Here is a 27,776-nt window from a genome sequence, read left to right on the forward strand (position 1 = left end):
CAGACCTATCATCTGGCTTGCAAAATTACTAATTTTAATTAGGAACTCTAGAATATATATATATTTTTTTGAGACGTAGTTTTGCTCTGTAGCCCAGGCTGGAGTGCAGTGGCGCAATCTTGGCTCACTGCAACCTCCTCTGCCTCCCAGGTTCAAGCAATTCTCCAGCCTCAGCCTCTGGAGTAGCTGGGATACAGGCGTGTGCCACCACGTCCAGCTAATTTTTGTATTTTTGGTAGAGATGGGGGTCTCACCATGTTGGACAGGCTGGTCTGGAACTCCTGACCTCAAGTGAACCACCTGCCTCAGCCTCCCAAAGTAGTGGGATTATAGGCGTGAGCCACCAGGCCCAGCCGGAACTCAGGAATTTAAAAAAATTATGCTACCAAAAATATTTTCAAACACTTAACGTTTTTTAAAGTAGAAGATGCCACAGGGAGACCTACGAAATACATAACATTTTCTCTAAGGCAAAAGACTGAGTGTGACAATCTACCTCCCGGATCTGGTTAACCATTACCAGGAAGCAACGTCTGATAAAGGTGGGGTGATTCAGGACTCTGGGTGCTTTGATCCCCAACACGCTACCCACACTTAGCAGTGAATGGGGTTCTAGGGAGGCAGATGGGCTGGCCCATTTCACCTTTTAAGCCCCTTCCAGTTCTGTTTTATTTTTCTTTTTGTTTTTTAAGACTGGGTCTTGCTGCTCTGTCACCCAGGTTGGAGTGCAGTAGCATCATGCTACTCGGCTCACTGCAGCCTTGACTTCCCGGGCTCAAGCAATCCTCTCACTTCAGTCTCCTGAGTAGCTGGGATTACAGGTATGTGCCACCATGCCCGGCTAACTTTTGTCTTTTTGATTGATAGAGACAGGGTTTTGCCATGTTGCCCAGGCTGGTCTCGAACTCCTGAGCTCAAGCGATCCACCGGCCTCAGACTCCCAAAGTGCTGGGATTACAGGCATGAACCACTGTACCTGGCCTCTGTGTTTTTCATAAGGACTAAATTCTTCAGACTATTGCTGAGGGGGTGGATGGAACGGGCCTATTTTCCCTTCAACATCATCTTGGACGTTCACCCCAACCTACTCCGCACTTGGATGAAACACTGGGAGAGATGCACTTTATACCTCCCAGGTCACCTCAGGTTGGCCATACTCCTAAGGGCAGCCTGAAATCTGAACTAATTTAATAGAACATTTCTCACAGCTTTAACTTTGCAAATATTTCACATTGAGTGTGTGTGTGTGTGTGTGTGTGTGTGTGTGTGTGTTTTCTTTTTAAGAAAGATATTTAGGGAAGATATCGAAGAAAACACGCTTTGATCTGCAAGGAAATTACACTATGCTTCAGGGTCAAGTAGAGGTACCATAGAACTACAGTGACCTGGTTTCCAAACAATAAATCCAGATATACAGACTATCCAAAGATCTGTGTTACTTCTAGGTGTGAGGGGCAGTCTGGGGTGGTCATAGTTGCAAACTACAATGTTGATGGGTTAAAGAGACAGTACAACAGAACATTCAGAATTGGGAGTGCCTAGTGAACAGGTGTACTGTCAGCCTTAGGTTACCTTGGGTAGAAAGGGATTATAGAATTGCTCTAAGCCTGGAGTTGGCAAACATTTTCAGGAAAAGGAAGAGAATAAATGTTTGTCTTTATGACCATATGGTCTCTGTCCCAATTATTATTATTTGTTGTTGTTGTTTTTGAGACAGAGTTTTTCTCTTGTCGCCCAGGCTAGAGTGCAATGGTGTGATCCTGGCTCACTGCAACCTTCACCTCCTGGGTTCAAACAATTCTCCTGCCTCAGTCTCCCAAGTAGCTGGGATTATAGGCACCTGCCACCACGCCTGGCTAGCTTTTTATATTTTTAGTAGAGATGGGGTTTCGCCATGTTGGCCAGGCTGGTCTTTAACTCCTGACCTCAGATGATCTGCCTGCCTCGGCCTCCCAAAGTGCTGGGATTACAGGCGTGAGCCACCATGCCTGACCTCTGTATCAATTACTAACTCTGCCATTGTAGCACTAAAGCAGCTATAGGTAATACGGAAACAAATGGGTATTGCTCTATGCTGATAAAACTTTATTTATGGACACTAAAATTTGATATTCATATAATTTTCATGTGTTACAAAATATACTTTTTCTTTTTTTTCCAACCACTGAAAAATGTAAAAAGCATTCTCAGCTATACCTATACAGAAACAGGAGAGCGGAGAGGGTAACACAGAGGGCAGATTTGGGCTCCAGCTTCCTGCTGTAAACAATTCTCACACCAGAAAAGACCTTTGTCACTCAGCTGTTCTGAAGAACTTAGCAGAATTGGCCAGGGTGGGGCTGGTCAGTGAGTGGAGTCTGTGCATTGTGAGTTTCTCAGTCAAATAATGTGTATCCATATCAAATGTAAGTTATCAATGGCCCAATGCCCATCTACCCGCTAGAGGCCATGACTGAATATGCTTGGGTTCTTTCTACATGGAAAATCTACAGTCACCTGGCTTATGTAAACTTGGGAATACTTACACTAGGATCCTATTAACCAAACCAGAGTAAAAGCATACATTGGCCATTTCTAACTTAGCTTACCCTGCTGTGAAAAAGATTTCAGCCCAAATCTTATTTTTCCAAATTACTTCTGCAGCAAGTAGTGTATACCCTGCTGAGTAAAGGACTGCCTGCTTTGTTTACAATAAAGAAAACTGCTTGTTTTTTTTCAAATTCAGATTTTTATTTGAACAATCTTTGAGTTTTTAAATGCCAATTTATGCCCTTAAAGTATGAATTTCTGCTGAGACCCTTCCTCAGTTCTGTATTACATACTTTGCAATGGCCCCTACCTTTAGGTATCTATTTGATTTAACTGGCCAAGTTGCAGTTTTCTTTCCCCTTGTTTGGCTTTTTTCTTTCCCAGAGCCATCACAACAGCTAAGCAGTGAATCATCCTGCCCTTTGACAATCTTATCTGATTATTGCCATGGCCCTAAAAACTAGCCTAACCACTTTGTGGCCTTATTATCTGATAAAACAGATATCTTATTATCTGTGTTGAGCCTGCTGCTAACCAATGTGCTACCTGGAAACTTAATCATAGAATTTTGCAGTAGAAGGAACCTTGGAGATCATCTAAGACCAACCTCCTCGATACTCAGATGAGAAAGGTAAAGGATGAGAAGTTGTGACTTGCTCAAGGTCACACTGGTGAAGTGGGACAAAAACCTAAAGTGCCTGACTTAACGACCCCAAATTGGTGTTCTCCTCTTTAGAGTCAAGTGTGGAGCTGGTTCAAAGGTGGGAAAAAATGTTTTAGCCCCATACATAAATGCCAATGAAATACACTTCCGTCTATAGAGTTTCTGCTAGTCTTGTGAAATAAAAAAAAAGAAAAAACCCTTGATGACCTTTCAATTAATATCTGGGGTGAAAATACAATTAAAGTATCCCTAAAGAATAAAAATGGCATCGGCAAATTGGCAACTTCTACACCACGCAGCCAATAAGCAACTTCTGCAGTGCCATTTTTCTGTCTCTTTTAAACTTCCATTTAAAATTCAGAATATCTGTAGTGCCAGATCAGTCCCACTGCTTAACATCTAGGTCATTTGGCCTGTAATTATATGATTCCTTACAGGGAGGCCTTAGTGTTAATATCCCCTGTCATACTAGGATACTCACAAAACAAAATTTGATTTTTTTATCCTTTTTTGGCAAAGAGTTGGAAAAAGTGAAGCAATAATGAAATGTATTTCAGCAATTCTAAGACGCACTCCTCACAACTACCACACATATATTTGAAGACCTCTGGTACCAATAATGTGTTACAGTTTAATTGGGAGCCTTTTATTTTTCTTTTTCAGTAATACTAAAATAATGGAGCATTTTATCTTCAAGAGCATCTTAGATTCAATGAAATACGGTAGTTAAAAAATGGGTTACTGACTCCAGGAACAGTTTTGGATATAGGAAATTTATCATACATGTGTAGGGCTGTCGTCCTTTTCTCTAACTCTGTTAAATGTGTGACCTGCAGTCTGATCTACCAAACATTGGTTTAATAGCACTAAGATGTTTTCATTATGAAAAAGAAGACTTTTTCAAAAGAGCACACAAAAGCAATGAAAATGAATCATGATGGAAAACAATGGGTCCACACACCTATTCATACTGTTAACATTTCACCACTAGGCGTGAATTCTCCCTCAGTTCTGTGTCATAGTCATTCATAATGAGGAAGTATTAGCATTTCAGTAGAACATTCAATCACGCCTGTGCTCAGAATGCATTTCTTCTGCAAATACAGATGTTATACATTATAAATTCCTGTTTATGAAGGGATGATTGAATATCTACCTGCCAGTTCATATAATGACATTTTTGTTATTGTTGTTTCCAATAGAATGTAATTTTTTTTCTGAGAATTACAAATTTGAGTTCAGGTACAAATTTTTGAAATAACAAATACAATATTTGTTATTTCGTTTTCTGATCCACGCAGTTAGGCAAGAATAAAATCTTACTTTAATTTCTGAGACTAAGCTTGTTTTTTTTAAAAAAAAAAAAAACTTAAATGTATTTTGTTGAATTATTTTCTGAATTATCAAATTTCAAGTAAATCTGCCTTCACCACATTTGCAAAACAGTTTCTATCTTTAAAAGTATGATAGAGTAAGCTAGAAAGTAATAACTGGAAATGAAGCACTTACGTTTATAAAATACTGCTTTAAAAGTTATGTGGGGCAGAAGTTCATAGATCTTTTCTAAAACAGTCGCTTCACCCACTAAAGAGGCATTTACATTCCAGACTTGGACGACGTCTTCTCGGTCCCGAACACTGACACTAACTCCTATTACTTCATCATCTGAGGGGAAGACAGGAAAAAAAAAAAATGAGTGATACTTCCAAGTCAGTCTGACTGTTTCTAAGAACTTAGTCTTTTTATCTGAAAATTAAGGATAAGATGGAAAAAAGAAGGTGGCACAAGATAACTTGTAAGAAATAATTGTTTCTATGGGGAATCACTGGAGGAAAGCAAGTCAGTGCACAAAAGCTGTAGCAGTCACATCACATTTATCCAGGGACTTAGATAAAGTGTTCCAGCCAAATGCATTTTCCAGATAAGTAATTTACCCTTTTTAACATTACCAAAGCTTTGTGACTATTTCTTACTCTGTTTTGATGAGACTTTTTCTAAAATGGGTTGCATAATTCCCTGCCCTCTGAAAGCCAAGTGAACTGAAATGAACTTTTCCTTGATGCCTTGCTGTCTTTGTTAAGGAGAGCAAGAATTTCTCCTGACTTCCTGCCAAGCTTTCAGGGACCTTGGAGTGGTCAGCGCTATCTGCCCCAACACGAACTGGAGCCAGATTGTGCATTCTCGACTGCTCATCTGCTTTCTGCGGTTTACTTGTCTGCTCCTTTCCTATGAATTCTTCCTGCTTCCTGATGCCTCCCTCTAGAAATCCCTTTTCTGGTTTTGGGCATTATATACTGTGGGCTAGAGAGCCAATGACCATCTGTTAGCACTGTGTATAGAGTGAGAGTAAAATCTTCTGAGTACAGCTCTGCTATTATAGGATCGTCCTTCAATGAATGAACGTTAAGGCATTTATCCACATTGATTAAGGTGGACTTTTTTTAAAAAACAAAATTCCAGATTAGGGCTGTCTTGCACATAGTTGAGAACGGCGGATGGATAGTAAGGTGTTATACTGTTTTATCCTCCCTTGCAGCCACTTTGTTTACATAAATTTGCAGCAAAATGAAAGGAATACAAACTTTTGATTCTTTGTTTCCTTGTTCATGACACGGTAATGCAATACGGTCAGCTCTCTGCACTTTCATAAACAGTATCAATATGTAATACGTGAGAGATAAGCATTATCAATATGAGAAAATTTTGCTTTAGTTAGTATGCTCTGCCTAATTTGCTGGCCTCTGTAAATCTAAATATTCATGCCATCAGTTTTTCCAATTGTCTTCTGGAAGTTAAAACATTTTAGTATTAGGATATAATTTAAATAAAAACATATCCAATTTACTAAAAGAAATAATCGGCAGTAAAGTAATTCCTTTCTTTTCTCCATTCTTCCCTTCTCTTTCTCCCCCTCTTCCTTCTTTTCTTTTTTAAAATGAATTTGATCCTGGCTAAATGTGTATGACTTGACACTAAAAATGAGTCCACTTACGTAAATACTCAAAACCAGGGAAAATTAGCCTATAATGTTAGAAGTTAGACTGGAGGTTACCTTTGAAGGAAGGAAAGAGAGCAGGGGGGATCCTGGCGGGCTGGTAATGTCCTGCTTGTACATCTGGATGCTAGTTACAGTTGTATGCTTACTTTGTGAATATTTATCAAACTGTACACATACGACGTGTGCAATCTTCTGTATATATGCCACATTTAAACAAAAGAGTCAAAAAACATAGTACCTTGTCATGGCCATTCACAGAAACTTATTATCCCATCAAGAAAATATTTTTAGATACAGATTCTTTACTTTCTAATTTACACTTTAAAAATAATCTTGCCAGAGATCAATGTTATATTTTATGTGAAAATAAAAATCATCAAATAAAAAGAGAAGCTTTGCAGTTTACCACTTTCAAGAGTGGCCATGAAGTCACATCACCCTTTTGGGGAAATGTTCATGTCTCCAGTCTTTTGGTGTTGCCCATTTCTACCCTATTGGTCAAAGCGTAATGTAACTGATGGATGCCGAACTGTCAATATTTCAGTTTGGTTTGGCTCTTGGTAACCAGGCACAGTTACTAGCACAGCACTTTCACAAATGGCTCGGTAAAAAAAGGCTGCAACTCTTATCCAAAGGCAGATCCATTAGCAAACATGTAATATTCATAAGTAGAATCAACCAGCAAAACCTTGATTATTTTAGGGTACTGGCAGCATAAGACATTAGAGCTGGGAGGAGCCACTGCTTAAAGATGAGGGGAGTGAGGCCCAGAGAGATTAGCTGACTTGCTTAAAGTGTCATAGCTAGTTAATGGAAGAGCTAATGGTTAATAGTTAATGGTGCGCTCATGTCCCAAGTCAACCACAAAACAATTGGTCTTCTTTACTCAATACTGGCTATTTATTACCACTTAGACTATTTTTCCCTGGTTCTGGAAACAGGAATAATTCATGCAGAAAACTTCCTCTCCCAGGGATTTATGTGTTTATAATTATACACAGGATACATTTTTGGCTGTATATTATCAAGTTGCTAAATACTCCCTATTAAAACAGAAGGAATCTGTACTTATAGACAAATTTATCTTAACCCAGGTCTTCTTTTTTTTTTTTTTTGAAACAGGGTCTCACTCTGTCACCCAGGCTGCAGTACAATAGCGATCATAGCTCATTGCAGCCTCTATCTCCTGGGCTCAAGTGATCCTCCCACTGCAGCCTCCAAAGTTGCTGGGGCTATGGGTGTATGTCACTATGCCCAGCTAATTTTTGCATTTTTTGTAGAGACAAGGGTCTCTCTATGTTACGTAGGGTGGTTTTGAACTCCTGGCCTCAAGTGATCCTCCCATCTTGGCCTCCCAAAGTGCTGGGATTACAGTCATGGGCCACCACGCCCAGCGCAGGTTTTATCTTAACTGAATAAAAAGTGGTGTAAGAAGTAAGCAAAACAGAAGTGGAATGATTGGAACTGCTCACGAGATGAATCTGAAATGTGCCCTGGGACTGGCAAGGCCTACAGGGCTCTCAAACACGGCCCCATCTAAGACATCTGAGGGACAACTGATCATTGTCATTAGCTAAAAAGAAAAACTTAACTGAAAGCTGGGGAAGAAAAATAGTATTCTAAATGTTACTTCAGGAGCATTCAGAAGGAACTACCCCAAAAGAAAACAAAACTTTAAACAAGCAATTAAATTCTGCTCTTTGAATGGGTTCATGATAAACACAAAGCAAAACAAAAGCTTTTTGTTTTGCTCTCAGAAATACCCTGGGTATTTGAAAATGGTCTCCAAAGAAAAGCCCTGAAGAACTTCTGTCTTATCCTCCACTGTGAGATCACAGGATATAATGGTGAGCATGTCCCCACCGACCACTCTAGTCCTCTTTGAGCAGGGGACAGAGAGAACAAGACGAAGGGGTTAGGGGTTGAGAGGGACAGAGAGGATTGTGCCTGTCCACCTAAAAACTTCACTAGACACTGAAGACACTTTCCCCTTCTGGAAGAACTGGAACAGATAATGGAACCTACTACCAATTGTGTTAAGGGCCCAGTTAATGTGAGATTTTTCTTTTCTGCCTATTTATTTTGGACAGATGGTTATAGATACTATTAAATTAAGCTAAGAGGGAAAAATATACATGAATATATACATACATATATAAATATGCACATATGTAAATATGCATATGGACACAGACACACATATCTAACACTGAACACGAAAATCACATGAAAAAAAATTGAGTAACTTTGTAGTTCCAAAATAAACAACTTCAAAACATGTAAAAAGTCAAACACGTGATAACAAGCTGCTGCAAGAAACAAGCACAAGCCAGGAGCACACGAGGCAGGGCCGGCCGGAGCCGTGGGCTGCTTTACCTGCTGCGGCACAGTCTGTGAACTGTTCCCCGATGGTTGCTAACAGCAACTCTTTCCAAACTGTGGACTGATATGGGAAAAGAATAAAAAACAAAACAAACAAAATACAGATATTTTTAGACAATTATCCTCAGGAGCTAAACAAATTATGTTTTCTTCAACTTCACATGCACTTTCTGTGCCCATACTTGGAGTCCACAGACACCTCCAAATCCTAGGTGCAAACACTTATCACCGTGGCATATTTTTCATTGGTTTACAAATAACTTTACACAGATACAAGTGAGCCAAAGTCTGGTAAAAGCTAATCTCTAGTGAAACCCCTGGTGAAATTCAGAAGAATTTCTAGGGAAAATGCATTCAAATGACTTAAAACTTTCAAATTTCTTTACCTCTCACTGATTCAAAACATAGAAGCTGATTATATGTGGATGCTATTAGTAAAATCTTTCTCTTCAAAATCCTTTCTCTGTTTTTCTTACTACTTATAAGGTACTTAAAAGGTTACACAAGTAAAGAACACTTAAGGACATTTCTTGTTTATTTAATACTAGAGTCTTGGGAAATTCCATTCATTTGAGGCAGACTGTTTATGGCAGGCGATAGAACTTTATGTAAGAATGTATGTAATTTCCCTGGAAGATTCAGTGCACGCTCCGGTCTGCCTCCTACCAATGAGAAATACTGGAGTTTCTTTCTCCTCATGATCTAATAGTGGCATCCAATAGACAGCTACATTATTTCCACACACATTACTTCCTTTGAAAAGTTCTTGGTCCCATTTATCCTCCTTCCTGTGATTCACAGGCTCCAAATTGCCCCCAAACTAGGTTTGAATCCTTAGAGGCTGCTTGCTATCTGCAAACCAGATGGGTTAACAACCTCTCTGGTCATCAGTTTCTTTAGGTGAACAAGGAAATAATAATAGGTCCGACCTTCCAGGGCTGTTGTGGGTATGAAATTAGTCAACAAGTGTGCACAAAGGGCTTAGTACAATGACTGCAATAAAAGGGCTTAACATTTAAGATCCATGCCATAAACAGCTGTGTGTTTGCTACATTCCAAGTGCTCAATACATATTAACTATAATAATAGTGTGTATTATTATGTCCTCACAAGCTTAAAGCAGTCTCGCTGAATCTTTAACCAAGGCCATGGCAGTTAGCCAGGGAACTGAAAAGTGACCTTTCATTCTTTTCTTTTCTCTTTCCTAGCCTGTCCCTTCTGGTCTATGAGTCTCCCACCTAGGAATCATTGCTTCCGTTTTCTATCTGTCCAGCTACACTCCTTCAAGCTGTTACTGATGAAGTTGAGAGCTGCGAGAGGCTGTTAGGGGAAGGGAGACTTCACCCTTCTGCTTTGAATTCAGACAGGATTGGCCCACAAGACTCCCACTGGTTGATGATGAAAAGTAGGCTAAACTGCCTGGGATGAGGGCATTTGCACGGATATGAAAGCGTTATTATTTGTGACCCAACGCAGCCAAGTGAGCTAACAAGGAGAGGACAAAACTGCCTTTCAGCCGCTTTTCAAGGAATGTTGACATCATGATTACTTCTACTAGAGTTCAAAGTCTAGTAAATAAAGTGAGTAAATAAAGAACATGGAAAGGCAAAAAGTGTTCATAGTGAAATTTTAAGAACACCTTATATTCCCTCATTCTCTTATATTCTCTGCTGCCCTGATATTTTTCATTATGTATGCCAAATAACAGTAAAATGTTGGAGCTTCAAATCTTGACTAATAGTTTGCACCTTTGACAAATAAATCTGGTCGTGTCTTTAGGTATGTTCTTATAGTAAAATGACTCCAGCTCAAGCATATGGGTCCCTGGAGACATTTCAGTTCTTTGAGCTTATCCACATGAAAGAAACCATGAAAAGGTAAAACTGCCTAGCACTTCCCCTTTGTCCATTTTCAAAGAAGCTTTTTAGTTTCCCAGGGCTTAAGATAACCGATTTTAATGTTCACGTTCATTTCCAGTCAATAAGATGAATTAGAGCTCACTCTGGGAAATCTGGGTTTCTGAGACTTGATCACTGCAAACCAGCATCCCACCAGGTCATCACACCATCCAGGTTCTCATCGGCCCCAGAGGGAGATGGAGCATAGTCTCTCATGAAACCCCAAAGGATAGTGAAATGCCAAGCCTCCCTATTCTCTGTGACATGGTCATTCTCAGAACTGCTTTTGTTCCCCCTGTAGAGGAGGGAAGAGCCTTTGGAAGGAAAGATCCTGCTTCCGACTTTGTAAAACCATATGCAACATGTTGGTCATGGCTGTCAAGGGAATGACCACCATAAAGACATTCACCCAGCTTTTCTGTGAAGTTCACAGGCATTTACTCCTGCAGACTGCATGATACAGTCACATACTACACCACGTCTATAGAGAAGCACAATTATACACTTTCAAGGTGACAGTGAAAGGCAGAAAATCATCAAGGTCAGAACAGAATTTCTCACCCCCAGCCTGTTTGGGGACTGCCAGGTAAATAGGCTATCTGCAAAGCACAAAATGCTGATGACAGGCAGTCAACAACTCCAAGCCTCGCCGGTTCTAGAAGAGGATCAGTAGGAACCTACCGTGCTGTCCTTGGGGACTTTCATCTTCCATACGCCACCCTTTGCATTACTCTCCTCTTCCCTGGGCCAAAGACCAACGTTTAAAGTTACACTCAGGACTAAGTGATTCTACATACAGTTAGATTAAATATCTCTTCATACATTTAGTTTAACAACAGATGACCTTAAAAACAAAATAGTTGGGCATTTTTCTTATTTTTGTTTTTTATTTTTTATTATGGACACATAATAGTTGCACATATTTATGGGGTATATCTGAATTTTTTTTTTTTTTTTGAGACAGGCTCGCTCTGTCACCCAGGCTGGAGTGCAGTGGCGCCATCTCGGCTCACTGCAAGCTCTGCCTCCCGGGTTCACGCCATTCTCCTGCCTCAGCCTCCCAAGTAGCTGGGACTACAGGCGTCCGCCACCAAGTCCAGCTAAATTTTTTTTGTATTTTTAGTAGAGACGGGATTTCACTGTGTTAGCCAGGATGGTCTCGATCTCCCCACCTCGTGATCCACCGGTCTCGGCCTCCCAAAGCGCTGGGATTACAGACGTAAGCCACCGCACCCGGCCCCTGAATTTTTTTTTAAAGACTAGGTCTCACTCTGTCACCCAGGCTGGAGTGCAGTGGCATGATCGTAGCTCACTGTAGCCTTGAACTCCTGGGCTCAAGCAATCCTCCGCCCTCAGCCTCCCAAGTAGCTGGGATTACAGGCATGTGCCATCACACCTGGCTAATTTTTAAAATTTTTTTTAGAGACAGGGTCTCTCTCACTTTGCTGCTCAGGCTCGTCTTGAACTCCTGGCCTCAAGCAATCCTCCCACCTTGGCCTCCCAAAGTGCTGGGATTACAGGCATGAGCCACCATATCTGGCCTACATGTGATATTTTGATACATGCATACAAGGCGTAATGACTGAATCAGGGTATTTAGGCTATCTATCCATCACCTCGAGTCTTTATCATTTCCTTGTGTTAGGAACATTCCAATTCTACTCTTTTAGTTATTTCAAAATACATAATAAATTATTGTTAACTATAGTTACCCTATTGTGCTCCAAGACCTCATTCATTCTAACTGTATTTTTGTACCCATTAACCATCCCCTGTTTATCACCCCCACAACTTCCCAGCTCTGGTAACCGTCATTCTACTCTCTTTCTCCATCAGTTCAGGGTTTTTTTTTTTTAAGCTCCTACATATGAATGACAGCATGAGGTATCTGTCTTTCCATGTCTGGTTTATCTCACTTAATATAATGTTCTCCAATTCCATCCATGTTGTTGCAAATGGCAGAATTTCATTTTTTTGATGGCTGAATACTATTCCATGGTGTACATGTACCATATTTTCTTTAGTCATTCATCTGTTGATGGACACTTAGGTTGATTCCATATCTTGGCTCTTGTGAATGGTACTACAATAAACATGGAAGTGTAGACATCTCTTCGACATACTGATTTCCTTTCTTTGGGGTATATATCTGGCAGTGGGACTGCTGAATCACTAACAGTCCTATGTTTAGTCTTTTGAGGAACCTCCATACTGTTCTCCATAGTTGGCTGTGCTAATCTACATTTCCACCAACAGTGTACGAGGGCTCCCCTTTCTCCACACCCTCACCAGCATTCATTATTACCTGTCTTTTGGATAAAAGCCATTTTAACGGGGGTAAGATTGGGCATTTTTCAATAAACACTTCCCCAGTCCTTTTGTTGGATACAGAAGCAGATTAATGAAAAAGGAAGGAGCTAGCGATTGAGAGGGAAGAAAGTGGCGTTCAGTGGCTACATGGGCAGGGAGGGTGAAAGGACTTGAGATCCTCATCCTCAAAGCACTAGTGCAGAGAGGCTCGCTTGACTCTGGGGATGGACAACAAATACAGCTGCCACAAGGGAAGGCCCTTACACTTCAATGTCATGGTCATGACACGATCTCATGTGATTCTCCTATCAACCATGTATCAAGGCCTCATAGGTGTCCCTGTGGGGGACATCTGCTGTGTGTCACTGCTTAACATCTGCTCCCTTTCTGGTAAGAGCATCCCAGTTTCCCTCTAAAGAGCCACTTGCCCCCTACTCTTCTGTGAGATCCACTCAGGCAGGGTTGACTCCACGTCCTAGCTTCAAAGATGGGCTTCTGACCCAGGCTAGCCTATGAGAGCACTGCCTCTTCCTAGTCTTTGTGATTGGCCAGAAATTGAAAGGGGACTCAAAGTGGGAGAATGAGACCCAGACCTGGGATTTTATCTGGGCTCGTGAGTACTGACAATGGTAAACTTACAGGGTGTAAGACCAGAGCATAGGAAGGCCACTTTGCCACCTCAGATGGGAGAAAATTAAACCAATGTAGAATGAAGCAGAGTAATTCTGGTGGGGACCATCAGATTCCTGATAACATGAGCTGGATCTGCCAGAAACTACCCCTACCAGTGAACTTCCCAGTCACAGGTTAAAAACATACTCAATTTTTTTGCTCAAATTACATTTCTGGTGGCTGGGCCTGGTGGCTCATGCCTGTAATCCCAGCACTTTAGAAGGCTGAGGTGGGCACATTGCTGGAGCCCAGGAGTTCAAGACCAGCCTGGGCAACAAGGTGAAATCCCATCTCTACCAAAAATAAAAAATAAAAAATTAGTTGGGGGTGGTGGCACACACCTGTAGTCTCAGCTACTTGGGAGGCTGAGGTGGGAGGTTCACCTGAGCCTGGGAGGTCAAGGCTGTGGTGAGCCGTGATGGTGCCACTGCACTCCAGCCTTGGTGACAGAGTGAGACCTGGTCTCAAAAAAAAGAAACCAACCAAACAACAACAACAACAAAAAAAACCCCACAAAAACAAATTAGGTTTCTGTCATTTGCTACTAATCAAGATGAGGTACATTTCCATTTTATTAATGAGTAAATAATGCAGAAAGACTGAATGACATGACATAAGGATTTATTACTAACTGGGACTCCAGCCTGGGCAAACTAACTTACTGTCCATCTTCATCACTACATCAAGCTATTAAAGAAGGAGGACACTTACCCCCAGACCCTGGGCCATGATTGGTATCACAGACTTTCTATGTTGTCCATGTGAGACACACATCTCAGGTGATATGATCTTTTATGAGGTTCACAAACATTTTCCTCCCACCTTGACCTTAAATTACACGTTAGACACTTACCAAAGTGGTCGCCTCTCTCCTCTCATTAAATGATAACTACATCTCAAAGGCAGGCTAGTCACAGGAGGGATATTATTGTATACACTCCAAAATATCTTTAAAAGAAAAACAAACACTTTGTTTAATATACCCAGTATTGATTTATTATGCTGCTAGATTATCAAATTAATGCATTAAAGAAAAATTTTGATTCTCATTGTTTTATCCATTCAAAATAGATTTTTCTCAGTATCCCTTCTAATTCTCTGTTAGAAAATGTAATATAACATTAAAGAATGCTGGGCTTGGTGGCTCATGCCTGTAAATCCCAGCACTTTGGGAGGCCAAGGCAAGCGGATCACTTGAGCCCAGGAGTTCGAGACCAACCTGGGCAATGTGGCAAGATCCCATCTCTACAAAAAATACAAAAAATTAGCTGGGCATGGTGACACATGCCTGTAGTCCCAACTACCTAGGAGGTTGAGGTGGGAGAATAGCTTGAGCCTGGGAAGTCGAGGCTGCAAGTGAGCCAAGATCGCACCACTGTATTCCAACTTGGGCAACAGGAGTGAGCCCCTGCCTCAAAAAAACAAAAACAAAAACACAACAACAAGAAGAAAAGATGTTCCTTGCTGATGCTGTGCCAAGCTCTATGTTTCAGGAAGCTATGGTTATTAAGCAAACATTCCTATGCAACATGTCTACACATAAAACTGGAAAGGACTTTGCTAATGATTTTTCTGGCAGCTAGGTAGTATCCACTAAAGCCTTTAGTACTGAATATATGTACTGAACATATTTATAACTATTTTGTTACAATAGACCCTGTCTTCAACATGGTGAAACCCCATCTCTACTAAAAATACAAAAAATTAGCCAGGCGTGGTGCCAGACGCCTATAATCCCAGCTACTCGGGAGGCTGAGGCAGGAGAATCACTTGAACCTGGGAGGCGGAGGTTGCAGTGAGCCGAGATCACACCATTGCACTCCAGCCTGGGCAACAGGGCGAGACTCCGTTTAAAAAAAAAAAAAAAAAAAAATCAACCCTGTCTTCTCTACAAGCCTGGAAGAAGTCTGTGATGCTATGGCTTGGGGGTTGTGGGATAAAGGAGATGGCAAAGAGAAACTACCTTAGACACTCTGTTTGCCCCTTATCTCTCCCCTGCTAAAGGAAGAGGGAACAGCTCAGGTGCTGAAACAACAAGCTGCGCAAGATACACAGTGTTACGGACTGCACATCTGTGTCTTCCCCAGATTCATATGCTGAAACCCTAACTACCAATAGGATGGTGTTAGCAGGTGGGGCCCCTGGGAGGTAATCAGGTCATGAGGGTATAGTCACCATGACAGGCTTGGTGTCCTTATGAGAAGATGAAGAGAGCCAGCCCTCCCTCTGGCATGTGAAGATACAAGGAGAGGATGGCCATGTACAAACGAGGAAGAGGGCCCTCACCTGGATGTGCCCATGCTCGCACCCTCATCTCAGACTTCCAGGCTCCAGAACTGTGAGAAACAAGGGTTTGTTGCATAAACTGCCCAGTCTATGGTATTTGGTTATAGTAGCCTGAACTAAGACACAGGGCAACTGGTAAACAGAAATAGATTATACAAAAATAATAAAGTAATAGTAAAACAGGAAGTCTTGGCAAAGACAAGTGATCTGGAGCTGTTCTCTGAGCCAGGCTTTGTTCTATGAACATTTACATGTTTATGCAATTTATCCTAATGACACTCTTAGGAGGAGGTATGATTATTATCCTTTTTTTAAAGATAAGGACACCAGGCAGAGACGAACCTGCCCAAGAGTCAGTTTGGTATGACCATTAGGATTAGGATGAGGATTGAGGCTATGAAGAAGAAAACACTTCCCCATTTGTTTGGAGTAGGTCATAGAATTACTACGCTATGAATGCTATCCACAGAATTACTGTGCAAATAAGAAATATTGTTCTGTGTGGTGAGGTAAGCATAGGGTGATCATCTGGGTCTCCCAGTAGGTCTGAGGAAAGCAGCACGAGTAAAATAGCAATTAGAAAAATCAATCCTAGGGCTCATGAACTGAGTCACATGGGTGGAATAGAATTTTAGCTATGTTGAATGATAATCCTGCTGGGTTGTTCAAGCCTGTTTTGTGTTAAAAAAATAATAAAGCTGAATTAACTGCAAAGGTGGCAATGATGAACTATAAGATCAAATTGAAGGCAAAAAACTACAGGATGACAGATGTATTAATTGAGAATCCACTTTGGCTCCCTTCTACTAAAATGGTGCTAGTGTAGTGAGGAGTTAAAAGCTACTGTATTAACAGTAGCTCCTCAAACACCCATCTGCCTCTATGGAGGTACCTATCCTGTAAATGCTTTGCTATTTGTACAAATAAGATTATTCCAATATTTCAGTTTCTGTGGTGTGAGGGTGGGTAGGCAGGGCTGGAATCTGAATCCAGGCAATTTGATTCCCAAACCTCTGTTCCTAACCACTCAGCTATTTTCTTCGAAGATACTACTATATGTTTTTGACACATCTTTCTCCAATCTTAGCAGCCAAGAATCAGGTCATGAAGCCACAGAAAGAGGGACACATGTTGAAGATATTTTCCCACCAGTAAAATGCCCATAATTCACAAGAGGCTGGTGGTTGTCAACTCCAGCCTGAGAACCTGGTTACGATGTGGCAATGACCTCTGTAGAATTTATGCACAAAATAACATTAAGAGGAAAACCCCTGCCTAAGGTAAAACTAAGAGGACTTTGGTGCTGGCAAACTTCAAGTCTCCTCAAAGGCATCACAAACCAAAGTTCCTGCCGTCATACCCCGGTCAAAGTTGTCAAATCTTGACTTTTTAACCTAGTACTTGAAGCACACTGAAAAAATACAACAAAACACTTCTTCCATTTCAAAGATCAGAAAAACACTAAAGATCATGCTAAGGATTGGAGCTTTAGAAGCTTCTCTTGAAAACAAAAACAGACAACTGATTCTGCTTGGCTTGGCAAATTTGACAGGAAGAGATTACAGCCCAAGAAGATCAGTGATAGACTTAACATATTCATTAAAGCACATATTTGTACGTTTTTGCTGAGCATAAAATAGGAGCAAAATATCCGGTCACACCATTAAAAAAAAAAAAAAAAGCCCTATTTGAAAAGCATGTGTCATTAAACTGGTCTGTTTCCCTGTTGCAAACCTCATCCAATAGGTAGAATATTTGTGAAGTATGTCTGCTGGTGAAATACCTACAGGAAGGAATCTAGCATTACTCAGCTCCTGAAAACCTCTTCCGCCCTTGCAGAAGTGAAAGGTCTGCTACAGCGGAAGCCTGGTAATTCAAGATTATACTCTCTGTAACACATCTTGAAAATGGAAACACTTAAATTTTACTATATATAAAATCTTGCAAATAGATTTCAGAAGCCTTTAGGCTTATAATTAATTCTGTTAGACTTGCAAATCCAAGATTGCAGTAAAAGTAAAACTAAGCACAATGTTTATTAATGATGGTTAAATGCTTTTTTTTCCCAAAAGCCTTGATAATCACCCTAAGACTAGGAGAGGTATAAAAGTTGAACATCATTCATTCAGTCAACATCTGTGACCATCAGTTGTGAACAGAGCACTGTGACGGGTCCTTGGGGAACTTAGCTGAATGCAGGAGGGTCAGCTTTTGACCACAGCAATCCACTCCTTGGGAGGTATGTTCTGGAACACCAATCTGGCACCTCTCCTGGAGAAACTGAGGCAGGGAAGACACCTGTCCAGTGGAGTCTAATACCTGGATTTAAGACCTAGGTTCTCAGCATAACCTTCACAGGTCATGTAGCCCGTGAAACCCACGTTGCCTCCTCTGTATAAGGATACAGCTATTTCACTGGAAAATGTAATGATGAAATGCAAAGTGAAAGCACTTGCTAGGCCTAAGGAAGGAAACAAAGTATGGTTAGACCCATTAATATGCTGACCACTTGATAAATCCCCAATCTGATAGCACTGATTGGAGCAACTATGCCCCACCTTACAGCCTTCTGCCAAATAGATAATCATTCATTACCAAGAAAACTGGCAAATTTCCTCCTCAATTTCCTACTGAAATGTTCTGAAGAAAAAGAATGCACTTGGAAATTCTTCAGAAGAAAAGATGTCATGTGTTGACAGACAACAAAGTGATATGTCTGTTTTGTAAAACAAACCAGAAACAAAACCACCCAGCAAACACACATCAAAAAAAAAAAAAAAAAAAAAAAATTCCAGGATTTATTCCAAGGTTGTGGCATGTGTAGCAAGAGAGTATTTCCAAAAAAACAAAACAAATATTTTTGCTCATTAGGTATTACTAGTTGCCTGGGGCTTCCCACCAACTGAATAAGTGGTATTTATGGGCAGGGCCAATAGGCATCTGAACCGAATAGGCAACTGAAGAGTTTAATGGATGTTTTTAACTCACAGCAGACACAAAGGCTGAAAGCAAAGTGCTTCTGATTTACAAGAGCTAGGTACTTGAGAGAGAAATGGGTTTTCCTTTGAATTCCAAAAAGGGCTTGGCTTAAAGAGAGAGCCCAAGTGTGGAGTTGTGATCATAGAGTAAACGAGATGTGACAGGATGTGAGGGTAATTTCCCACCACATAGAAAGTTAGTAAAAACCAACTCTGAGTTGGGGAGTTAAAAGCTTGGAGAGAGAGGACAGTGGGGTTAAAACCCTGAAAGGATGGGAGAGAGCCCCACCCAAAGATTGGGGATGCCTAGACCAGAGGAGTGTGGAACCTGCTTCCTGGTACAGCCCAAGAGGCTCCAAGACTCCCAGAAAAGGCCCTCATTCCTACAGCGCTGAGCAACATGGCGGTCAGGTCTGAGAACAGCTGTGAAGGCAGGAGGGGTTATTCTGGCCGGGAGGGCCTGCCACAACCTTATAGAGTTCCCCTCATTCTGGTGGGGTCGGGGGAAGGCAGCCAACATTTCCTAAATCTCCAATCTGGAGCTTGAAATTGCTAGAAAGCCTAAGGACAACAGGGCCTGGGGTCTGGATGTGTGTGTACATAGCAGGGGTCTTCATAACATGAGGTTACAGCAGGGCCAAAGGTGGTGGGCATGGCCCAAGGTCAGGAGGGGTCAGGGGTATTTCTGCATATGCCTGTTCATATGGAGAAGGAGAAGAGGGTGGTCATTTTTCCCAAAAGAGATTTAAATTAGAAGAGACCCAGTTTCACAGTTGAAGTGACTAAATTACTTTTAATTAACAAGGTCAAGTCTCACCCCACCCAATACACAGACACAACAGCCTCCACTGAGAATGTGGAGGAATACAAGCAATTTAACTTCAGTTATATTTCTTCATAACTGGATTGTAGCTATAGATGTTGATCCTATTATGCATATAATGAATAAACTAAATGATGGATAAAGAATCTTGTTATACTGGATGCAAAGTCTGTGCTAGACAGAACTATGAAGTGGACCTGGCTGCAGGTCCTTCTCTTTCTCTTTTCAGTGTTGGCTTTCCTCCTCTCTCCCCTCAGGCCCCTCCCTTCAGCCAAGTGGTTCACTCCAGGTCATTCTATTGCAGGACACCACACACCATGGGCTGTCTTGCTGTGTCCAGGGCAGCAAGTACTTGGAATCAATCTTTCCACCATCCTCCATGATCAATACTGACCTAGAAAACCTCTTCTTCTGAAGGAAGAGCCCTCATTTCCCAAGGGTTTGGAAAGCAATCTGCTGCCCTAACTTAACTGCACAACTCCAGTCAGGCGGCTTGACCTGCGGATATGAAGTCTTGATATTATCGACAGCACACAGGATAGGTTTGGCATATGCAGGGGAAACATTTTCTTAATTTCAATAGGTTATATATACTCTTTAGGAAGACTTTCTGCTTATGATAAACGATGCTGAATTTCCACTTATAGAGGAAATATGGTTTCTGTTTTATGCAAATTTAAATAAGAAGTCAAGTTATAAGAAATACTGGGTAGAATGTACCACAAGTGAGATAGGTGTGGCAAAATCTTTAAGGCGATACACCAAATAACTGATGTTCGAGACAGAGTGCTGTACAGGAATGAGTTTTCAGGGGTGGAATTTTTAGTCTTGTAGCAGATAAGGCTGAAAGAAACTGGAGAAGGGAGACTTCTCTTGCAAATCACAAATGGCAGGTAGCTCTTCATTCTCCAACAGGTAAAACAGGGCTTGTTCAAAAGCCGTGTTCTATTTTTTTTTCTCCCAGAGATGTGGGTCTTGCCATGTTTCCCAGGCTGAACTCGAACTCTTGGGCTCACGCAATCCTCCCACCTCAGCTTCCTGAGTAGCTGAGATCACAGGCATGAGCCAATGCACCCGGCTAAAAGCCATTTTCTATTCTGCACTGCAACCACTGAGGATGCAAAATCACAAGAGAAATGTGGAAAATTTGGACAGGTTCACAAAGGAGTAAGAGAATCAATAAGCATCTGGAAAATACGCCTAGATGTAAAATGGAATTTTCCAAGAAAGTTAGGAAAGTAGAAATGAATTTAACTCCAGGCAGAGAGAATTATTGTTAGGTGTGATGAAAGTGTCCTCAGCAGGGGTTCCCAGGTCCTTTGGAGGCTGAGTCTCCTCCACTCCTCAATCACGGGGAGTAAAAGAAAGAGAATTGGACTGGGAGGGAATTCTAGTCCTAGAGGCAAGGCATGACTGGCTCTTTCCAATCATGGAATGTTTGGGCCTCTTACCTCCAGCCTCAGTCTCCTCAACTAATAGACGGGGTAACGATTCCTCTCCCAAACCATCTACTTTGATTTGCTAAAGGGCCTCAAAGTATAAAAAGACTCATATGTCTTTAATAAGACAATCATTAATATCACATGATTTTTACCTTTCATCTAAACACATATGGGAGGAAAACACAGACATAATTGGAGAAGCAGTTTTTTTTAGTGCTAATGGAGTGAGAGTAAAAGGATCAACGTACAGGCCAAAGTGGTTCATGCCTGTAATCTGAGCACTTTGGGAGGTCAAGGAGGGAACACAGCTTGAGGTCAGAAATTCGAGACTAGCCTGAGCAACATAGCAAGACCCCATCTCTACAAAAAAAATAAAATAATTTAGCTGGGTGTGGTAGCACATGGCTATAGTCCCAGATACTTGGGAGGAGGCTGGGGTGGGAGGATCTCTTGAGACCAGGAGTTTGAGGCTGCAGTGAGCTATAATAGCACCACTGCACTCCTGCCTGGGTGACAAAGTGAGACCCTGTTTCTGAAGAAAAAAAAATTAATATACAATCCTAGAATAAAATAAAAAGACAGTGGGACAAAAGCATATCCTCAAATTACTTACAAGATAGTATCCTGGCCAGTTCTTAAATACTAAGGACAATTTATCAGCTGTTATGGACACTCGCAGGCTGAAAACTCAAAAGTTATTGATAAGTTAAATATCTTTACATACACCTCTGTGTTAGTGGTGGTGCGATCCAGAGTATAATCACTTGAAATAAATAATCTAGAAGCAGTGGTATATAGTTTCCTGATATAAAACATGACTGAAGAAAGCACGAAAAGATATCTCAGTAGAAGTAGACAAATTATGGCAGATGATTGGGTACTTACTATGGCTTTTTACCTCATTGTATCATTTAAGTCTCATAACAGCATGATAAAATTACCATCACAATTATTTCCATCTTACAGATGAGTAAACTGAGATTCAGACAGGTTATATAACTTGTCCAAGCTAGTAAGTGTCACATATGGGACATCAACCAAGGCATTGTGACAACCCTAGCCCACACCCTAGCCAGGTAACTGATGGAGCTGAGGGGTAGAATCCAGTAACACTTAAGTAAAAGCTGGCCACATCTGAGGGCTAAGTGCCAAGCATTACTAAGAACTATATACCATCTCATCTAACTTTCACTCTACCTTAGCGAGTAGGCACTATTACTACCTCAGTTTTACAGATGAGAAACTGAGGGAGCAGAGACAGCTGAGACAGAAAGGAATTTCCTGATCCTTAGGGCAGTGTTTATCAGCCATTTTTTTCACTGTTCCCCCCTTAGGCCCTAAAAGAACCCTTTTTCCTAATCACCTATGACGAAATTTTAATACCACAGAGACACCGTATGTTTATGGACTGCATGGACATCTATGCTTTGTACGTAAAAAGAATGAGATTTGTTCACTGATCTACTTCCCCTGCAAGAATCAACTTTGGCCCCCACTGAGAATGTGCAGCCCACAGAATTCTTACGGGAGCAGTCTGTTGTGACTCAGGAAAGTGGTTCATTTATTAACTTCTAATTCATTCTTTTTTTTTTTTTTTTTGAGAGTGTGTGTGTGAGAGAGACAGAGTCTCACTCTGTCACCCAGGCTGGAGGGCAGTGCAATCTCAGCTCACTGCAACCTCCACTTCCCGGGTTAAAGCAATTCTCCTGCCTCAGCCTCCCCAGTAAGTGCCCACCACCACTCCAGGCTAATTTTTGTATTTTTAGTAGAGACAGAGTTTCACCTTGTTGCTCAGGCTCATCTTGAACTCCTGACCTCAAGTGATCCGCCCACCTTGGCCTCCCAAAGTGCGGGGATTACAGGCAAGAGTCACCATGCTCGGCCTCATTCATTCATTCAATCCTTCAATATTCATTGAGTGCAAAGGACCAGACACAATAATATAGTACTGTATTATTCCATCAATATAAAATTCAGTAACAGAATGAATGTAATGTGGTAGAAATGAGAATAGTGGTTGCTTTGGGGGATGGAGGCTGGCAGGGGCACGAAGACACTTTCTGGTGTAAGGGAAACTTTTTTCTTCTTGATCTGCGTGATGGTTGTATGTGCGTACCCTTGTCAAAAGTTATACTTAAGAAATCTACATTTACTGTATACAAATTATATCCCAATAAAGTAGTTTTAAAGGAAGTATTTCCTAGTATGTGCCTGCCTGGGTGCTTTAAATTGCTCCCTGAAGACCCTAAAATGCTGTGGATTCAGGGGCTCTACCAAATACCCTGGGTTATCTCGTGGGGTCAGGAAAACCAAGCCAATCCCCTCATCTGACTAGTGTCAGCCCCAGAACCCCTTGCATAACCCTGATGATCTAATGTCATGTGGGTTGGGAAAAGTCTAATGAGACTCTGAGAGCCTTTACATGAGGACAGGCCTTCAAATCAAGTGCTCTGAGGATTAAAAAATGGCCGCTGGGAAATGGTAACAGAAGTCCCTAAATCCACAGAAGAGACGTGCAGGGAGGCCTCCCAGACTCTTAGCGCGTTGATTTCTCTGGACAGTGGTGCTGCCTTGAGGTGCTGTCTGTACTTGGCACTGCACAGCAGCACTGCTGCTCTGCTTCCCACAAGCTTATGTCATTTCCCCAACGACACCAGAAATGGCCCACAGTCAGGACTGTGTCTTCACACCCAGCTCACTGCCCTTGGTAGCCACACGCAGCACCTTACAATCAGATTCCTGGGACTTCATAATTATGCATGCCACATTTTTTGAACCAGATACTGGGACCATAGCCTAAAAAAAAAATGGATCTCTGTGCTACTTCTGCATGTAAGAGGCTGCCTAAGAGACACAATCTAGATGCAGATCTATTGGAATTTCTAAGACATTAAAAGATTTAGGGATACAACAGGAAAGCTATTTAAAATCTCTCCCTTCTAGAAAATTTATGGACATATGGTCAATGCAACTCTGAAGCAGCCACAATAGCCTTATTCTCTACCTGCACCAGCCCGCTAAACTAGAAGACAGGAGAAACTGGGTAGAACCTGCTATTGAAGAAAATAGAAATGGGATCAATTAAATCAATCAGGTTTTTTCTTTTTTGAGACAAGGTCTTGCTCTGTTGCCCAGGCTGGAGTGCAGTAGTGTGAACACAGCTCACTGCAGTGTTGAAATCCTGGGCTCAAGTGATCATTGTACCTCAGCCTCCCAAGTAGCTGGGACCACAGATGTGTGCCACCATGCCCAGTTAATTTTTAAGGAAACTGTTTGTAGAGATGGGGGTCTATGTTGCCCAGGCTGCTCTGGAACTCCTAGGCTCAAGCAATCCTCCCACCTTAGCCTCCCAAACTCCTGGGATTTCAGGTGTGAGCCACTACGCCTGGCCAGTTGTGTTTTTTCAGTTGTGTTTTTCCAACTCCACCATCAGAGTTAGATAGAGAAAGAACTAATAGAACTAAGAGCCTGCATTCATTGAGAATCTGCTATGTATTAGGTATTCCACTAAGCATGGCATAAACATAATCTTATTCAATCTTCACAGTAACCCATGGAGGTAGGTGCTACCATTAGACCAGTTTTACAGAGATGAAAGGGGTTGATCCATGCCTAATTTAGGATGATGGAATTGCGAAGTGAAGTAGGAAACCAAGCAGAGACTCTCCACCTTCACGCTCCACACTATCCTGCTCTCCCCATGTGACCTCTAAACCTTTAGTAACCCTGCAGGGAAGGCGCCACTGCCTCTCACTGATGGGGAACAGAGGCACAGAGAGGCACTGGCAGAGCTGGAGTTTGAACAGGAACACAGATAAAGATCTTGAAAAACCTTCGCTCTTAACCACACTGCAGTCTGCCTTTTGTGCGGGTCTATGAAAGGTTTAGGTAGTAGATAAAGGTTCAGCAGGTGGCCAAGAGAAGAGCAGGCCACCTGACTGTGTGCTCAGCTGGCCCTGGAGCAGACTTGGTCAAGGGCAGCTGTGCCAACCTGGACCCGAGAGCCAACTCCAGAGCAGAACCCTGGACAGGGGCTGCCAGCACAGCAACAGATTTCAAGTTGGGTGATTAGGTGTCTGACGTGTGCCGTGTTAATCCAGTTAGTCCCTCTCTTGATCTTACCTGTACTGTCTGTACTGTGTAGATTTTCTTCAGATTTGATGCGCACTCAGCTGCTGTGGCACCAGGGAGGGATCTAGGCAAGCAGGAGCAGGACAAAGACACAAACAAAACAAGCAGTCAGTGCTCACAAAACAGCCCACAGTAGAATCTTTCACGTCTTCCTAAAAATCAGGTCTCAAACCACAGGACTGGACATTTTGGGGATGCTAGTTGGAATTTAAAATGTGAAATCCCTACTTTGTGAAGTCATGTGTTGGCTTCTTCTAAAAATCAGCAGATTTATTCTTGGAAACTTAACAGAAAAAAAAAGATAAGTATGTATTAATAAGAAAGGGAATGGACACCTGAAAATCACATTTTAAAACATACCAAAATAACCTACTGATAACCAAGCATTTTCTCCAGGACTTTAGATGAGAAACTGCCTATTGTACAGACGACAACGAAAATGCAGTGTCCTGGCCTGGTGATATGTTTGCAAACTTGTTAGTAACTGGGTGGCAAATATTCAAGCACTCTTGAGAAACAGAGTGACCATTTGCCTACTTTAAAAAAAGTCAACTCTGGTTTCATATGAATTTGCTGTTACCAAAACACTTGCTTTTAGAAAATACTTTCAGTTCTTTTCTCTGGCTGATTTAATTAGCTCAGCTGAACTTTATGGTCAGACTGCATTAATCTTTAGTTTGCTATGTGTTCCACTAGATGGCAACATACTACAGGTTTAGTCACCAGAAACACTGCAATTTAACTGGTTTTACCAAGGACCATTGCCTGGGATGGTAAAATGACCTGTCCCATCAAACCTTAGGAGTTCAAGACTCTCAATTCCTGCCACCTTTTCTTTCTCTCTATATTGAATTAGCAGTTCATGCTCAAAAATGTTGGGGTACAATTATATCAGCCTAAGATTATGTTTCATCACACAAATAATGCATGAAAGCCCACATCTGGTTGTTGGTGAGAAATAAGAAGCTTGCTGAGAGGAGAAAGCACCTCAATCACAGCTGACCCACTAGGATCTGGAATCTATAAAAGCAATGCTCTTTACCAGAAACTGATCCCAGAGACGTTGCCCCCAAGGACTCTCAGTATGTTGTACTTCCTGGACAGTTGCTAAAACACTGCACACTAGAGACAAAACTCACATGAGCTCAGAGGTGGAGGCAATGCCAAAGGCCCATGCCCAGGTTGGGGTAAGCACAGCAAGGACTACAGTCCTTGAACTATGAACCAGTGAATGCTCCCTAAGAGTTGAACCTGAATATCAAAAATGCATTTCTGGCCAGCCGCTGTGGCTCATGACTGTAATCCAATTACTCTGGGAGGCTGAGGCAGGTAAATCACTTGAGGACAGGAGTTTGAGACCAGCATGGCCAACATGGTGAAAACCCACCTCTACTAAAATTATTAATACAAAAATAAGCCGGGAGTGGTGGTGCTCACCTGCAGTCCCAGCTACTGGGGAGGCTGAGACACGAGAATCGCTTGAACACAGGAGATGGAGGTTGCAGTGCACCGAGGTCGGGCCACTGTACTCCAGCCCGGGTGACAGAGCGAGACTCTGTCTGAAAAAAACAAAAAATGCAATTCTGAATACCGCTTCCTTATCAGAAGGTCACTAAAGAAGCACAATCACGGACTAGTTTGGGGGAAAACACGGGACTTCCACTGGGCAGGTGCAGTCCAATAAAGAAATCTACTGTAAAGCACTGAATTTACAACTCGATTTGCTGGACATTGTTTTAGAAAAGCAAATCCACATTAAACACCATGACTGCATTTTGTTGTTGTCAGACTTTAAGCCTAAAATAACTATGTCAAAGAGTGTGGCAAAGAATGAAGTACTCAATCAATACCTTGCTAATGACAGTTCATACCTGGGCCCCTGATGAAATACATCAGTCCACGTGGATTGACTGGGCTATAGTTACTAAAGTATCAACTTGGATAGATACTAAGTTGGCTATTTAATGTAGGTTTTATATCTTTTTCAGCTTTAATTATTTTTTAAATCAGGGGAAAAAAACTTCAAAACTCTTAAACTTTTTCTGAATAGACTGTTAGCATGAAAAATCTATCACTTTAACATTAAAATATGACTTTTCTTCCTTTATCTGACTGCTCTACTACATATGCCCAGTAAATACATTCCTGGATCCCCCAAAGCACATAGGAGAGTATATACAGGGCTTCTTCCCTATGTGTGTGTGTTGCGGGGGGTGGGCGGGGGAGATTCTAGGGCTCAAAGGGAGGAAATATACTTTGCATTCTTTTTTCATTCAAAAAACTGTATTTCAAAAAAATTTTTTTAACTAATTTTTAAAGTTCACTTCAATTTGAAAGGTTTATAATGAGTATAATGCAAATGTTTGCTTCATACAGTATTATGTCAATTTTAAGCAAACACAATGTGAGGATAATACCATTTAACCTAGACCAAAAAAAAAAAAAAAAAAAGCACTGATGAAAATTTGCTATATATGGTTCTTTTTAAATGCCTCCGTCTCCACAGTCTGGTCTTTACTTGTATTCCAGTGCAGGAGATAATTGTACCAAGTTACATAGGTCCCCTCAGTTTCATTATCCAGGTTTTTTGAAGAAATCACGTTTCCAGAGGCCCTAAAAGGACTCTAGAATAAAATAACAACTAGGAAGTACTTATTAGTGTA

The 27,776-nt window shown here is 41.5% G+C and overlaps 1 protein-coding gene across 11 annotated transcripts in view, besides 2 other annotated features; it reads right to left on the bottom strand.

Moving 5' to 3' along the window:
* EIF4E3 (eukaryotic translation initiation factor 4E family member 3) overlaps positions 1–27,776 on the bottom strand; it is a 95,411-nt gene that overhangs the window by 25,945 nt on the left and 41,690 nt on the right. For 7 of the 11 annotated variants that reach the window (XM_047448060.1, NM_173359.5, NM_001134649.3 and 4 more), the window contains 5 exons: positions 25,105–25,177; positions 14,307–14,401; positions 11,153–11,213; positions 8,568–8,634; positions 4,703–4,858 (listed from right to left, as the gene is read on the bottom strand). In XM_047448060.1, coding sequence (XP_047304016.1) covers positions 4,703–4,858; positions 8,568–8,634; positions 11,153–11,213; positions 14,307–14,401; positions 25,105–25,177 — 452 coding nt within the window. Of the gene's footprint in view, positions 1–4,702; positions 4,859–8,567; positions 8,635–11,152; positions 11,214–14,306; positions 14,402–25,104; positions 25,178–26,550; positions 26,673–27,776 lie in introns of all 11 variants that reach the window. The other 4 variants (XM_047448063.1, XM_047448062.1, XM_047448061.1 and 1 more) reach the window with 2 other exon arrangements.
* Positions 18,469–19,050: an enhancer, noted in NCBI's record as "OCT4-NANOG-H3K27ac hESC enhancer chr3:71752927-71753508 (GRCh37/hg19 assembly coordinates)". NCBI's record gives its function as "activates a minimal SCP1, AML or CMV promoter by ChIP-STARR-seq in naive H9 embryonic stem cells {active_cell/tissue: H9 hESC(naive)}" and the evidence as "EXISTENCE:reporter gene assay evidence [ECO:0000049][PMID:30033119]".
* Positions 25,641–25,690: an enhancer, noted in NCBI's record as "active region_20064". NCBI's record gives its function as "activates an Ori minimal core promoter by ATAC-STARR-seq in GM12878 lymphoblastoid cells {active_cell/tissue: GM12878}" and the evidence as "EXISTENCE:reporter gene assay evidence [ECO:0000049][PMID:35858748]".

The sequence above is a fragment of the Homo sapiens genome, chromosome 3 (genome assembly GCF_000001405.40).
Source record: "Homo sapiens chromosome 3, GRCh38.p14 Primary Assembly".
NCBI classification, from domain to species: Eukaryota; Metazoa; Chordata; class Mammalia; order Primates; family Hominidae; genus Homo; species Homo sapiens.